At 38.3% G+C, this 16485-nt stretch overlaps 1 protein-coding gene and 1 long non-coding RNA gene across 4 annotated transcripts in view; one reads left to right on the forward strand and one right to left on the reverse strand.

Annotated features, from left to right (window-relative positions):
• DNAJC6 (DnaJ heat shock protein family (Hsp40) member C6) overlaps positions 1-16485 on the forward strand; it is a 151123-nt gene that overhangs the window by 2954 nt on the left and 131684 nt on the right. The gene's annotated exons all lie outside the window — the stretch shown is intronic.
• The window catches only part of DNAJC6-AS1 (DNAJC6 antisense RNA 1), a 31160-nt gene continuing 25197 nt past the window's right edge, over positions 10523-16485 (reverse strand). The window contains exon 3 of one of the 2 annotated variants that reach the window (XR_007066155.1): positions 10523-10597. This is a non-coding gene — a long non-coding RNA (DNAJC6 antisense RNA 1). Of the gene's footprint in view, positions 10598-11751; positions 12177-16485 lie in introns of those variants that run through there. The other variant, XR_007066154.1, reaches the window with a different exon arrangement.

The following is a 16485-nucleotide window of genomic DNA, read 5'->3' on the forward strand; positions in this document are numbered from 1 at the left end:
GTCAATAGTTTTCCTCAGATTTTTAAAGGATTCTAAGACTCCAAATAGGTTATGAATTACTGTATTTCTAAGGTCCCCCAGGCCTTTTCCAAGCCTAGTTCTTTGAGAGCAAAGTATCCCTTTAGGGCTGCTGGGAGATGGGTATGTGTTGACAGAGACCAGATAAGTGTATGGTGTGAGGTGGTGTGTGTGTGTGTGTGTGTGTGTGTAGGTGTGACCATAGCAACCAGACCGTGAGAGCCATTCCTGGGTCCCAAATTACCAGTTGGTGTCCTGAATATGAGACATAAAAACACTAAAAATTAGAGTCTCTGTGTTGAAAAGGACCACAACAAAACTATTAAAATATTATGAATTGTTTGGAAGTCAATTCTTTTTGTAAAGACTGAAAAAGAGAATCAGGTAAAATTATAAGAGGTTGATGGGGCAAAGAAATCACCAGGATGTTGCAGGTTCAGAAAGTGAATTTTTGTAAGCTACCATCACATGAGTGGTTCAGTAAATGTTGACTTGTGCCTTAAGAACTGCCTGCCTGCCTTTTCCATCTTTTTAGTTCATCTTAGGGACAATTCAGTGAGGTTTTTAAATACAAAAGACATTGTGTAACATTGATCTAGCATATCTCAAAATGTTTTGCAAGCCAGGAAAAAGAAATTAAGTATAAGGCAACTAAAAAGAAAATAGTTGAGTGAGTTAATAAGTAGATATTGGCAAACATGACAGCTAATTATAACAATAAGAACCATAGCTCCTATTTAATTAACAACTGTTATGTGAAAAGCTCTCTGGGAGGTGCTTTACATATTGTCACAACACTGCAAGGTAGGTGGTATTTTATTCTGAAGAAATAGATTAAGAATTTTGTACAGGGATACATAGCTAGTTAATGGCAGAGCCATGATTCAAAATCAGGTCTTTTTTTATCTCCAAAACCATTCACATGGTAGGCAAGTACTTGAAAATAAGTAGCCCTGTACTCTGTAAAATTACAGTTTTTAATAAAATTGTCAACATTTTTAGAATTAACTTACCTATATAAAAAGGGAGATGTGAACCTTAGAAAATGATGGCTTTTGACTAATTTTTTAGGTTGTTTTTATTTGGAAAACAGATATTTTAACTCTTCAAATTCAGCTCCAAATTTTCTTTTTACTAAGTTCTTTGAGTATGTTATGCAGCAAGGTCTTAGAGGCACAAAATAATAAGAATGAAGACTGAAAATTTGGGTGAATTTTTTTTTGGTCTATAAGAGGTCAAAGAAAATAGTTCTCATTCCAATTTTTCTGTTATTTTTCTAGATTTTATTTTAAAATGGCAAACATGGCATTTGTTTAGCAAACAAAGTTACACATAACATTTTAATAGTAGGATTTAAAAGTTGTCATGACTGGGCGTGGTGGCTCAACCTGTGATCCCAACACTTTGGGAGGCTGAGGTGGCAGATCACTTGAGGTCAGGAATTCAAGACCAGCCTGGCCAACATGGTGAAACCCCCTCTCTACTAAAAATACAGAAATGAGCCGGGCATGGTGGCATGCACCTGTAATCCCAGCTACTGGGGAGGCTGAGACAAGAGAATCGCTTGAACCTGGGAGGCGGAGGTTTCAGTGAGCCGAGATAGCAAGACTGCACTCCAGCTTGGGTGACAGAGTGAGACCCTGTCTCAAAAAAAAAAAAAAAAGTTGTCTATGCCAATGGTTCCTGAGATAACTTTTCACTGGAAGTTATTACAAAATCTAATTGGGTTTGAGCAGGGTCAGATTCAGACTTTTAGGCTCTAAATATTAAAAAATAGTGTGGTGTTCATCCTCCAATCTGTAATTCAAAATAAGTGTAAAAAAATTTTTAAAAAGTTGTGATTTTTCTTAAACATCTTGACTACTTTGATACTTTTAGAGAAAACTCAAATTCTTTCAAGGATTTTTGTCACTGCTGCATGTGACTGGGTGAGTTGGTGAAATGATACTTTAGCTGGGGTGATCTGTAAATGACTGAGTGACTTCTCAAAGCTTCAGGGGTAGCATGTGGTTAAGCTGGGATTAGAGACTGGTCTATGCCAGTGGTAATCAATGGGTCTGGTATTGCTTTTTGGGCTACACACTGGAAATCTGCAGGTATGTTATTTGATGGTCATATGATTGAGGGGCGCTGCCATTGGCAGAAACTAGAAATGATAGTGCCCTCCGGTGTTCTGGGCTGTTCCATTCAATGATGAATTAGCTCATGTCCTGTGCAATTTTCAAATGTTTTGCTGAAGATGTAGTAAAACCTTCTATACTTTTCTGGGCTTAGAACATAAATTGGTTTCACTGTACACTGAAACTTCCAGGATTAAAAATGCTGTGTAAATCTAAGGAAGATTATACTGAATTTTGTTCAGGAAATCACTTACCCAAAGCAATGCCACTTGTGTTTTAGACACCAGTACAACACACCTGAATCATAAAATCTATATACAAGTGCAAGTAGCTACCTACTTAATTATGTTTTCTAATATAGTCGTCTGAGCATTTGCATATTGAAATACATGTTGCTTTATTGTAAATAACTTATTTCACTTCTCTTTTACATTACAGTTGAAACGTATATGTATATATATATACATATGCATAGTTTAATTTTGTGTTAGGTTATTTCATCTTTAAATTTCATTTTGAGATACTAAACAAGAAAATACAAAATATTTTTATATGTTACTCAGAGTTTAAAAATGACTTGATTTTTACCCCTGAATGTTTTAAAATAATTTGAACCAACATTAAAACTTTTGGAGACTATAGGTTCAATAAGGTATTTATGGCTTCTTTAATAAAGATTAGAGCAGTCTGCAACAATGAGATTGAGCTGAGTATAAATTACCCTCTTTAAAGGGCAGATATACTGGGTTATAAGGGTTATAAATCTCTAAAAGTGATGTTACTGGTCGTTGATTATTTTTATGCTATTGTTACTGCCACTTACATTTTTATTTTTTGTTTTACTATTATTATTTTTGAGATGGAGTCTTGCTCTGTCACTCAGGCAGGAGTTCAGTGGTGCGATCTTGGCTCGCTGCAACGTCCACCTTCCAGGTTTAAGCAATTCTCCTGCCTCAGCCTCCCTAGTAGCTGGAATTACAGGTGCACACCACCACACCCAGCTAATTTTTGTATTTTTAGTAGAGTCAGGGTTTCACCATGTTGGCCAGGCTGGTCACCAACTCCTGACCTCAAGTGATCCGCCACCTTTGGCCTCCCAAAGTGCTGGGATTACAGGTGTGAGCCACTTGGCCTGGCAAAATTTTTTTAAAACATTTTATTTATATTCTCTCAGCAGGACAATCTTCCTAGCATAACTGTTGAGGGCCCCTCCAGTCTCAGGTTTTGACCTTGTTTTTTATTTTTTTTTATTAACTTAAAAAACATTATTATTTTTTCATTTTTATTTTTGACTTGACGATAACTGTATATATTTATGGGGTACAATGTGATGTTTTGATAGAAATCTACTACATTTTGGAATGATCAAATCAGGCCGATTAGCATATTTATCACCTCAAATATTTATCATTTCTTTGTGATGAGAACATTTAAAATCCTCTTTTAGTAATTTTGAAATATACAACACATTATTATTAACCCCAGTCACAGTGCTGTGCAATAGGACAGCAAAACTTATTCTTCTAACTGTAACTTTGTGCCTATTGATCAGCATTGCCCCTTTCCCTGCCCATGCCCCCACCTCCCAGCCTCTAGTAACCACCTTTTGATTCTCTAATTCTGTAAGTTTGGCTTTTTTAGATTCCACACACAAGTGAGATCATATGATATTTGACTCTCTGTGGCACTTTAGAATTTCATTTTCTAATTGTTTATTCCTGGGATGTAGAAATAGAATTGATTAGGCCGGGTGCGGTGGCTTATGACTGTAATCCTAGCACTTTCGGAGGTGGAGGCAGGTGGAACACCAGAGGTCAGGAGTTGGAGACCAGCCTGGCCAACATGGTGAAACCCTGTCTCTACTAAAAGTACAAAAAAAATTAGCCGGGTGTGGTGGTGTGTGCCTGTAATCCTAGCTACTCGGGAGGCTGTGGTGGGAGGATTGCTTGAACTAGGAGGTGGAGATTGCAGTGAGCCAAGATCACACCACTGTACACTCCAGCCTGGGCAACAGAGCGAGACTCCATCTCAAAAAAAAAAAAAAAGAAAGAAATAGAATTGATTTTATATGTTGACCTTATTTCAGTGACCTTGCTAAATTCACTTATTAATTTCAATAGTTTTTAGATTTTAGGGGCCTTACTATGTAGACCGTTTATTTTTCTGTAAATAATGACAGCTTTTTCTTCTTTCTGATCCTTATACTTTTTCCCCTTTGTCTCATTGCACTAGCTAGGATCTCTCTTATAATGTTGAATAGAAGCAGTGATGGTGAGTATTCTTATCTTGTTACTGATCTTAGGGGAAAAGCTATCACATTTTCACCATTAAGTACAACATTTGATGTGGGATTTATATGGACACTTAAAAATTAGATTAAGGAAGTTACCTTCTATTCCTACTGTGCTAAGTTTTTATCATGAATCAGTTCTGAGTTGTAACAAATATTTTTCTGTATTATGTGCATCATATGATTATTTTATTCTGTTAATATGGTGAATTTCAGTGATTCTTGAATGTTAAACCAACTTTGCACTTTTGGAACAAACAACTTCGTTGTGATATCTTTTTATATATTGCTGTATTTGACTTGCTAATATTTTGTTGAGGATTATCTTTGTCCATGAGAGAGATTAACCTGTGATTTCCTTTTGTTGTGGTGCCCTTGCCACATTTTGGCATCAAGGATATGTTGACCTTGTAAAATGAATTAGGAAGTATTTCCTATTTCTCTATTCCCTGGAAGGTTTTTGTGAGATTAGAATTATTCTTTAAATGTCTGGAAGAATTCACTGGTGAAGCCATTTGGGCCTGGAAATTTTGTTCTTGGAAGGTTTTAAAATATGTTTTTTTGTTTGTTTGTTTATTTATTTTACTTTTGTAAAGATGAGGTCTCACTATGTTGCCCAGGCTGATCTTGAACTCCTGACCTCAAGTGATCCTGCCACCTTGGCCTCTCAAAGTGTTGGGCTTACAGGCGTGAGCCACTCTGCCTGGCTTCAGTTGTTTTAATAGTGTATGTTATTCAGATTTCCTATTTTTGTGTGTGTTTTAATAAATTCTGTTTTTTTAGGAATTTGTCCATTTCATCTGAATTTCCACATGAGGTTTTCTTTATATTCTCTTATGATCTTTAAAATGTTTTTAGGTGGTGTGGTCCTGTCCTTGTTTTTTATTTCTGATAGTGGCATTTCTATTTATTGTCCTGGTAATTCTCACTTATTTTGATGCAATATTGTCAAGGTCTTATACATTTGAGTAGTCTCTGTAATCTTTTACTGGTTAATTTTTTGTATTATACATTTATTTTTCATCTCATGAGTTCTTGCTTTTGTCTTTATTATTTCCTCTTACACTCTTTGGCTATAACTTATGACTTATTTTTTAGTTTTTTGAGATAGAAGGTATCTTTGATTTTCAGCTTTTCTTTTAAAAAATATTTTCATTTAAGGCTACACATTAATATCCTTTAAGCCGGCCAGGCGTGGTGGCTCACGCCTGTAATCCCAGCACTTTTGGAGGCCGAGGCAGGTGGATCACAAGGTCAGGAGTTTGAGACCAGCTTGGCCAATGTGGTGAAACCCCGTCTCTACTAAAAAATTACAAGTATTAGTTGAGCACGGTGGTATGTGCCTGTGATCCCAGCTACTCGGGAGGCTGAGGCAGAATTGCTTGAACCCGGGAGGCGGAGGTTGCAGTGAGCCGAGATCACACCACTGCACTCCAGCCTGGATGACACAGCAAGACTCTGTCTCAATGAAAAAAAAAATCCCTTAAGCTATATATATAATATCCTTTAAGCATAGCTTTTGTGTACACCTGCAAGTATTGTTATATTTTCATTATTTAGTTTAAAATATTTTATACTTTTCTTTTTGATTTTTTTGACCCATAAGGTAGTGTAACAACATACTTTTTAATTTTTAAACAGTTGGGGAGTTTCTAGTTCTCTTTTTGCCATTGATTTCTAGCTTGCTTTCACTGTAGTCAGAGAATATATTTTGGATGACTTGGAAATGTTTTAGACTTGCTTTGTGACCCTTCATATGATCAATTTTTATATTTATATGTTGTACTTAAAAGAATGTGCATACTAAGATAGTTTGGTTCCATGTTCTATATATGTTAATTATTTCAATTTGTTAATCCTGAGGTGCGGATCTTCTGTATCCTCACTGATTTTTTTCTCATTCTGTTGGTTCCCAAGAGAGGGCAAACTCTTCCATTATAATTTTAGATTTGTCTATTTTTCCTTTTATATTTGCCAATTTTTGCTTTACTTTGTGGCTCTGTTATTAGGTGCATACCATATACAGTTATAGTTGTTATATCTTCATTATGAAATGTCTTTCCTTATCTTGAGCAATACTCCCTTATAATCTACCTTTTTGATATTAATGTAGCTATACCAACTTTCTTTGTGTTAATAGATACATGGTAGATCTTTTCCCATTTGTATACTTTTTCTTTTTTATTATTATTATATATTTTTTTGAGATGGAGTCTTGCTCTGTCATCCAGGCTGGAGTGCAGTGGTGTGATCTTGGCTCACTGCATCCTCCGCCTCCTGGGTTCAAGCGATTCTCCTGCCTCAGCCTCCCAAGTAGCTGGGACTACAGGCGTGTGCCACCACACTCAGCTAATTTTTATATTTTTAGTAGAGACAGGGTTTTGCCATGTTGGCCAGGCTGGTCTCGAACTCCTGACCTCAGGTGATCCACTCACCTTGGCCTCCCAAAGTGCTGGGATTACAGGCATGAGCCACTGTGCCCAGCCTATACTTTACTTTTTTCTATACCCATATATGTAATCTGTATCTTTTAGAAGCAGCCATAAGTGAATTTTTAAAAATCTAGTCTGACAATATGGTCTTTAGTTTGAATATTTAAACCATTTAATATAATTATTGATGTGTTAAGTGCTATAGCTACCATGTTACTCCTTGTTTCTTATTTGTGTCCCATCTGTTTTATATACCACTTTCTTTTGGATTAATCAAGCATTATTTTTAACTTTCCAACATATTCTTTACACATTTGTTTTCATTTTACTTTTCTTTGTGTGTATGTGCGTGTGTGTGCCTGCGTGCGTGTGCAAGTGATTACCCCAGTGCTTCTTATATTTAATCATGTTTCAGACAATGTTAGGCGCTTAGAAGACTTTAACTCCATTTACCCTATCTTCTCCCTCACCTCACTTTCTGCCTTTTGTATTATTATTGTATTTTGTTTTAATTATACATTTATTAAAGCCCCATAGGACACTGTAATGATTGTTTTATGGAATAAATATTCATTTAAATTTACCCACATATTTACCCTATTCATTGCTTTTCATTTCTTTCGGATTTTTTGTGTATTCCCTCTGGGATCTTTTCCTTTTGCATGAAAAAAACTCCCTTTAGGATTTCTTGTAGTGCATATATGCTAGAAACAAATATTCTCAGTTTTTATGATCTGGAAATGAGTTGATTTTGTCTTTGCTTTTGAAGGACAATTTTACTAGGTGTATAGAATTATGGGGAAGCAGGTGTTCCCCCAGCACTTTAAAACATGTTATCCCATTGTCTTCTGGTTTTCATCCTTTCTTGGAAAAGCAGGCTGTCAGTCAGTCTTATGTTGTTATTTGGTGTTGCATCTTTTTTCTTCGGCTGTTGTTAAGACTTTTCTCAATTGATTTGGTTTTCAACACTTGTCCCAGGTGTGGTTTTCTTTGTATTTATCCTGCTTGGGGTTTTCAGTCCTTCTTGAATCTGTGCGGCTTGAGGTTTTTTGTAATTCTCATAATTCCCTGCCATTATCTCTCCAAACAGTGTTTTGTTCCTTTCTCTCTTTCTGGGACTCCGGGTACCTTTATGTTAGAACTTTTTACCCTGTCCCATATATTCCTTCATTTTCTGTATACTTAGCCCTTTTCTTTCTTTTTTAGTTTTGTTATTTTTTTGCTGGCCTATCTTAGAGCTTACTGGTTCTCTCTGCTATGTTTAACTTGTTGTTACAGAACCATTAATTTCTTAATTTTGTTTTGTATTTTTCAGTTCTAGAGTTACTATTAGATTCTTTTTTTTTTTTTTTGAGACAGAGTCTCCCTCTGTTGCCCAGGCTGCAGTGCGATCCTGGCTCACTGCAGCTTTCACCTCCTGGGTTCAAGCGATCTTCAGCCTCCTGAGTAGCTGGGATTACAGGCATGTACCACTATGCCTGGCTAATTTTTGTATTTTTAGTAGAGATGGGGTTTCGCCATGTTGGCCAGGCTGGTCTTGAACTCCTGGCCTGAAGTGATCCGCTCACCTTGACCTCCCAAAGTGCTGGGATTATAGGCGTGGGCCACCGCGCCCAGCCTCTATTAGATTCTTTACCAAAAGAGATTCTTCACCTTGTCATCTGTTTTCTCAAATACATACATCACAGTCATCTTAAAAAACTTTGCTCAGTAACTTCAATGTGTGGGCCACTTGTGAGTCTTTTTATCTCTTCTGTTTTTCTTCTTGGTTGTCTTTCTTCATATGCCTGGCAATTTTTTATTATATGTCCAGTATTGTGTATGAAGATGCTCTGGATGATGTCATCTACCTGTTGAGAGTATTTTTCCTACTCTTTGTCAGAAGTAGAACAGAGATCACTTCAATCAGGCACTCAGTCTAATTAAGGCTGTTTTGCAGACTTTTAAGGTTTAGTCTACTTCTGGTTCTCCTAATCCCAGGCCCCTAGGGAAACTGACTGAGAGTCTGAGATGTTTCTCACCACCCCTTCCCCTTGACAGACCCTAAACTCTAATTTTTGTCTCTCTAATACTGTGAACTTGCTGAAAACTCTACTCAGCAAAATGTTCATTGTGCTTTTCATTTGCTTTCTCGTTGGCTTCTTAGCCTCTGCTCTGGGCAGCTGAGTCAGGAATATCTGAAGGAGAAAACTCCTGTCAGGCTGTGAGTTACTCTAGGATATGCCTTTTCAGTCCTAAACTCCACTTTTTGTCTCTGCAGCCCTTGAAACTGTCTAAAATTCTGCAGGCTTCTCTGTGTCTTAACAGCTGCCCCTTGCCTGGCTTTTCAGCTTCTTACCCCATGCTAAGAATTGGCATATACCCTAAATAGGAAAATGGGCTTGCAGAAAGTCAGGCTCACCTCAGTGAGCCTCCCCTCTCTCCAAGATCTGGTTCCTCAAATCGTGGCTGATTAGTAGCTTTCCTATTACTTCACACAGATGTTTAAAAATTTTATCTGGCTTTTCTAATTTCCCTCATCAGAACCAGTCTGCTACAACCTACTCTATTAAAGCTGGAAGTTAAACACGTCTGTTTTTTTTTGTTTGTTTTAAGTGGATTATGTTAAAAAATAAAAATCACAGGCCAAAAACCAAGGTAACAATGTCATTTTAAACATGTAAATTTAATAAAGGATATATGTTGATTTTTAGTTACTCTTTCTTGCCTTATTAAAAGCTTGTCAGTACCTTTTTTCATATGTACTCTGAAATTCTTACAAATATATGTTGCTTTGTTCCAGAGAATATGTGTACTAAAAGACTATAATTTTTCTGAGTCTGGTTCTCCATTCAAATGTTTTAATACTTTTGTGATTTTATGATTTGTAATTGTCGACTCTCACCTCCCAATTCAACATGATCCTAAAATGTACAAAATAATTTGAATGATTGAGTTTCAAAAAGTTTTAGAAAACTTGATCTTGTAACTTTTATTCCAAAGCTTTGTTGAGGGGGAGAAGTACAGGCTTCTGCCTTTAAGGGTACTGCTTCACTTTTGGGGCAAAAAAGCAAGGGTTTTCAAAGGGGGACTTGACATGAATGGCATGCAGGGGAGGGGGTGAGCCAGTGGGGGTCTCAATGACTTGCTTTGGTGCTTTATCTACCAGGTGGTTGAGCTGGTGCCCTCGCGGGCAGAACTAGGTGGTAAGGTGGCCAGAGTCTTGAGATACTCTCCAAGTGGGAGTGAGTTTCATCATGGGCATACTTTAGGTTATAATTTGTTATCTCTCGAGGCAGTCTCCTGGTCGAAGAGACGTCTGGCTCTGGAGCTTCTAAGTAAGCAAGAGCTTCCAAGTAAGCACACAGATAAGCTTGCCCTACAGGGAGTGTCTGGTGAAGGAAAGGTAAATGTTATAATTGCATTTCTAAAGAGCTAAGTAGGAAGTGGGGAACAAGGGAAAAGGAGGAAACAGAAAAGAAGAAAAAAGTATTTTTTAAAAAAGTAATTCTTTCTCTTAGAAAAAGGTGGGTACTTGGTTACAGTCTAAACCCTTTACCGTGGCTGAGTAGGTATTTTTTCAGCCTCTTTCCCAGGTTGCGCGCTGCGTTTAGTGCTGTCATTCTCATGTGCTTCATGTCACTGCCAATGTGTTCAGCCTCTCAAATGCAAGCTCCGTTCATTTACTCATTCATCTCATATGTTTTTGATCACTTATGTGCTCAGGTCTCCTTTTTCAAATCAATATTATGGCAATTCTAGTAAATGATCAGGGAAATTAAATAGGTCAATTCATGTGACATAGTTCTGAAAGGCAACAGAGTGATTGGTGGAATTGTGGAAATGTTTTTCACATTTCTCCAAATTTTCTTTTAAAATCAGACAAACAAACTGACACTTACTTTTCAGTCTTTTCAGATATGTTCCCCAACTCTGACTCTAGTACTTGAAAATGTACTAAGTAAGAGGGCTTTGGGATGCCAGAAATAGTCTGTTACTTAATCTGGCTGCTGGTTTTTAAACCAGTTTGTGAAAATTCCTGGAGCTCAGCACATGGTTTGTTCACGTTTCAGTATGTCTGTTATACTTTAATAAAGAAAATGAACTTTTTACTGATAGAGTAACAAAGAAAGTGCCAAAGAGAAAGAAAGCTTGAGAACCTCTGATCAAGTTCAGCCTCTTCATGTTATGGACGAGGGAATTGAAGCTTGGGAAGGAAAAATTACCTGGGGACTGGGGGAATGTCTCATAACCAGGACTTGTACTCAGGCCTTCTGACTCCTAGTTCATCTGACTTTCCTAACTCATTGATCAGGAAAGGGGTGGGGAAGAATCTGGCATGCGCTAACATTGGAGCTGGGCGACATTCTCAGAATCCCAGATGTATCCTGCGAGTCAGCACTTCACTCCCTACTCTTTCTGCCCTCCTCCATCCCCTTCCCCATGGCAGTTTAAAAACAGACACTTTTATTTCCTGCAAACCTGGAGATACTTGTTTCATCACCTAAGAATCATTTGACTGCATATGCTGAGAAAAAGGGAAATTCGTGCCTGTGAAATCTAACAAGAGCCCAGCACAAGGTATGTTTGATCCTCTTTTAAAGCCATTTTTAGTTTGGTGCTGTGTGGTTTAAATTTAGAATAACATTTCTACAACTTTGGGGGAGGGGCGGTGATGGTGGCGTGCAGAGATTGAACCCAGCTGTGACTCCTGCTGCTGTGAGATAAATGGGAAAATCTGGGAACCAGTGTTAAAAGGAGAGGGCTCTTTAGAGAGGTAGCTGCAGGGAAGGGGACGTGCCTTAATTGGGATGGGGGTGGAGGTAAGGCCAAGAAACAGTGGGAGCTGTCTCCTCCCCCTCTTGCCCTGTGGGATCTGACCTACTGAAAACAGAGTGAAGACTATTTCTGATCTGGTTTGGAAATCCAGAATTTAATATTAAAATACACGTTAAATATTTCAATAAATAAATATTAATATGTTAATATTAATGTTAAGTCAGAATGTTAAAATATACATCTAATATATATACACATACATGCACATGCATGCACACACACACAGCTTGGAATTGGTAGTGTCATCCTGGCTTCATTTTACATTCTCAAAGGCTAGATGTTGGGTTTCCAGAGTGCTGTTTCTTCTGCCTGAAATACATTTTCTCTCCTATTTGCCTGGCTCAGTTCTGCTCCTCTTTCCAGTAGTAGCTTCCTCTGACTCTAGGTCTCCTTCCCACTCGCTGCCTATAACAAGTTTCCAGAGCATCCTGTGTTTTCCCTTTTGTGTCACTTCCCGTATTTTTAATTATTAGATGAAATTTGGGCACGGCATATGTCCTTAATACATAGAGAAAAGAAGAGAAGACAAGGAGTCAGGGAAGATAAAAGAAAGCTACCCTTGGATCGCTTCTTTTAAACTTAGCAAGGTAGACAGGTTCCTTAACTTCTCTGAGCCTCAGTTTCCTCACTTTCAAAGTGAAAATAGTAATACCTAATAAGGTTGTTGTGAGATTAGAACCTAATAAGGTTGTTGCGAGATTAGAAATAATATATTAAAGGCACCTAGCATAATATCTAACACATAGTAGGTACTCAGTGTAACATAATTTAAAATGTATATATACTCTTAAAAGGAAATTATGAAAATTCAGAAAAGCACAGAGAAAGCCTGTGAAAACATTCATTGTCCCGTCTCTTAGAGATAATTGCTGTTAAATTGAGTGGATTCTTTTTCTGTGTGTATCTTTATGTATCTATATAATGTACTGAGTTCAGATTATTCATATTTTTTTTTCACTTAATATGACGGCCCAAACACTCTCCACATTTTTAGTGTCTGTAAAATACTGCCATGTTATATTTTGTAATAATAACTGGGCCTTCAGTTATTAAAAGAAGATTTAGAAACTGACACTTGATCCATTCAAACTCTACTTTTACCAGGACAATATGTTTACGTGTTAGGAGGATAATTCATATCCCTGGGTAAACAAATGATGTAGTGGACAAGGTGCAAAAGGACTCCTCCCTCCATTCCTTCTTCTCTCTCTCTTTCAGCCTTTCTTGCTTATTTCCATGGATAGGAGGGTTATTTTGATTTTTAAAGTAATGAGGCAACTAGGTGAAATGAAGAAATCCATTGGCCTGGAAGTTAGGAGGTCAGAAATTTTCCTTCTTACAGTCCAGTCACTGACTCACTTTAAGGCAGTCTTTTCATTTTTTGGTCTAATTTTTTTCATTTGTAAACATGGGAGAAGTGGGTTTTATTAGAGAGATTTTCAGACTGGGCTTTTCTGAGTGAGTGTTAGAGTTCTGTGGAGATGTTTTTTCATATTAGGTAGATTTCCTCTCAAGGGAAAATTACATGGCTAAAAAAAATTAAGTTTCACGTTTCAAATTTTATTTTATTTTTTAGACAGGGTCATGCTCTATCACCCAGGCTGGAGTGCAGTGGTGTAATCTTGGCTCACTGCAACCTCTGCCTCCTGGGTTCAAGCAGTTCTTGTGCCTCAGCCTTCTGGGTAGGTGGGTGCTCGCCATTACACTGGCTAATTTTTGTATTTTTAGTAGAGACGGGCTTTCACCATGTTGGCCAGGCTGGTCTCGAACTCCTGACCTCAAGTGATGTGCCCACCTTGGCCTCCCAAAGTGACGGGATTACAAGCCTTAGCCACTGTGCCCGGCTCAAGTTTCAAATTTTAAATGAAATCTCAGTGGACTTTTTCCTTTTTTAAAATTGAGATATAATTCACATACCATAAAATTCACCTTTTCAAAGTGTACAACTCAGTGGTTTTTAGTATATTCATAAGGTTGTACAGTCATCACTACTATCTAATTCCATAACGCTTTCATGGAAACCATTAATAGTCGCTCCCCTTTTCCTCCTCCCCCTAGCCCCTGGCAACCACTAATCTATTTGTCCCTGCGGATTTGCCTATTCTGGACATTTCCTGTAAATGGAATTATAGTATGTGGTCTGGCTGCCTTCACTTAGCGTAGTGGTTATAAAGTTGATGCATGTTGTACCCTAAGTACTTCATTTCTTTTTTCCATTCCTTTTAGTTTTTTTTTTGTTTTGTTTTGAGATGGAGTCTCGCTCTGTCACCCAGACTGGAGTGCAGTGGCACAATCTTGGCTCACTGCAAGCTCCACCTCCTGCGTTCACACCATTCTCCTGCCTCAGCCTCCTGAGTAGCTGGGACTACAGGCGCCAGCCACCACGCCTGGCTAATTTTTTGTATTTTTAGTAGAAATGGGGTTTCACTGTGTTAGCCAGGATGGTCTCGATCTCCTGACCTCATGATCCACCCACCTCGGCCTCCCAAAGTTCTGGGACCACGGGCGTTAGCCACCGTGCCCAGCCCTGTTTAAAATTTTTATTTTACTCATTTATTTATTTTGACACAGAGTCTGGCCCAGTCACCAGGGCTGGAGTGCAGTGGCACGAACATGGCTCACTGCAACCTTGACCTTCTGGGCTCAAGCTGTCCTTCTGCTCAGCCACCCGTGAAGCTGGGACCACAGGTGCATGCCACCATGCCTGGCTAATTTTTTCATTTTTTTGTAGAGACAAAGTCTCACTTTTGCCCAGGCTCAAGTGAACTCCAGGGCTCAAGTGATCCTCCTTTGTTGGCCCTGCAAAGTGCTGGGATTACAGGCATGAGCCTTCACACCTGGCACCATTCCTTTTTTACAGCATTTTAGAAAAAATTTTTTTCAAGTTTGGAAAAAAAAAGTTTTGTCAGGCTGTTAGAATTCCCGTAGCAGTAGAATGCATTATCTGCAGTGTTTGTTGAGATGCAAAAACAATTTCAGTACTTCAGACTTTTAAATAAAAGGCTCTATTTAGTTCATGTGAAAACTTTTAAAGCTCTGCCCTTCCCCCTTAAAGCTAAGAGACTGATATACTGATTGCCAGTCTTGTTTTCCTCCTCTGGGTTTAGGGGAGGGGATTAGGGCCAGACTTTCATTGGATAAAGGTAGTTGAGGCTGGGGTTAGGCTCTTTTCAGAGGAAAAATCAAGATATTAACCTGTCACCAGAAGGAGGAGGGATGGATGGTGGGTGGGTTAAAACAACAGATGTCAGGTGTACATAACTGGGATGGACTTTATCTGCTGCACTATTGGTGCAAAATCCTTTCCTCTTATGTGTCTCCTGGTGTTCCTAAGGAAAGTATAAGGAAGTCACCTGCAGTTTGTAGGGAATGAGCTATTTACTCATGCATGAACTGTGTTCTCTAGTTAAAAAGGGATTGAAAAGAAGAACAATATCAGAGTCCCTATCCAAATTATGAACTCCTTGAGGTCAGAGATTGTGTCTTGTCACAATTATACCTCCAGTGTTTGATATGGAACCTGGCATACATGAGTCATTCAGTGAATATTTGTGAGATTACTTGGTTTTTTGCCTTGTTGACTTAAGAAAACTTTTTATTTTGAAATAATCATAGATTTGTCCGAGAGATTCCAAAGAAATGTACAATGATATCCTATGCATCCTTCATCCTCTAGCCTCCCTGAATGTTCACATCTTATACCACCATAGTACAATATAAAAGCCAAGACATTGACATTTGCACAATCCATAGAACTTAAGGTTTCACCAGTCACACATGCACTAGTTTATGTGTGTGTGTTTATGTTTGTAGCTCTATGCTATGTACTATGTGAATACATGTAACCTTAACTAATGACCACGGTGATCAAGATGCTCAAATATCACCACACACTCTCTTGCATTACCCCTTTATGGCCACCTCCATTTCCCGGTCCTTAACCCTTGGAAATTTAGTCTGTTCTCCATCTTTATAATTATGTTATTTCATGATTTTTTCCAGAAATGAAACCATGAAGGTATCCCCAAGATTGCCTTTTTTTTACTCAGCATAATTTCCCTGAGTTGCATCCAAGTCGTTGGATGTACAACATGCACCAACAGTCCATTCCTTTTTACTGCTGAGTAGTATTCCCTAAAATGGATATAGCATAATTTGTTAAAATATTTATCCATTGAAAGACATTTGGGTGGTTTCCAATTCTTAGCTACTAGGAATAGAGCTGCTGTGAACATCTGTGTACAAGTTCCTGTGTGAAAGTAAGTCTTCATTTCTTTGGGATAAATGCCCAATAGTGCGATTGCTGGATTGTATGGTAAGTCCATTTTCAATTTTGAAAGCACTGCCAAACTATTTTCCAGAGGGGATATACCATTTTAAATTCCAACCATTATTGTATGAGTGATCCAGTTTCTCCATATCCTTGCCAGCAATTGGTATAGTCACTATTTTTCTTTTTAGCATTTGTGGTGGGTGTGTAGTGATACATTGACTTTTTGCCCCTTCTCCTACCAAACAAATATGTTAAGTTTTGAACTCAGCTTCCCAACTCTCAGTGGCCTGGTCTGTGATTTCCATAGGCCTCTATACTTCTGACCTCCTCCTACCTCCATGACCTTGACCTGACTTCTCTTTCTTCTCTCCCCAGCCTGGGTCCCGGGGTCCCCTTTTTACCTCAGAATCGCTTTATCTCAATCCTGCCATCTTCCCAATGCCTGGAGAAAGTCACAAAAGTGCTCTCCACTGCTGCCAGGCCTCTGATGTTACAGCTCCTGGGCAGTCCTTTCCTTTACCTCAGTGATGTCAC

Source organism: Homo sapiens, chromosome 1, assembly GCF_000001405.40.
Source record: "Homo sapiens chromosome 1, GRCh38.p14 Primary Assembly".
NCBI lineage: Eukaryota > Metazoa > Chordata > Mammalia > Primates > Hominidae > Homo > Homo sapiens.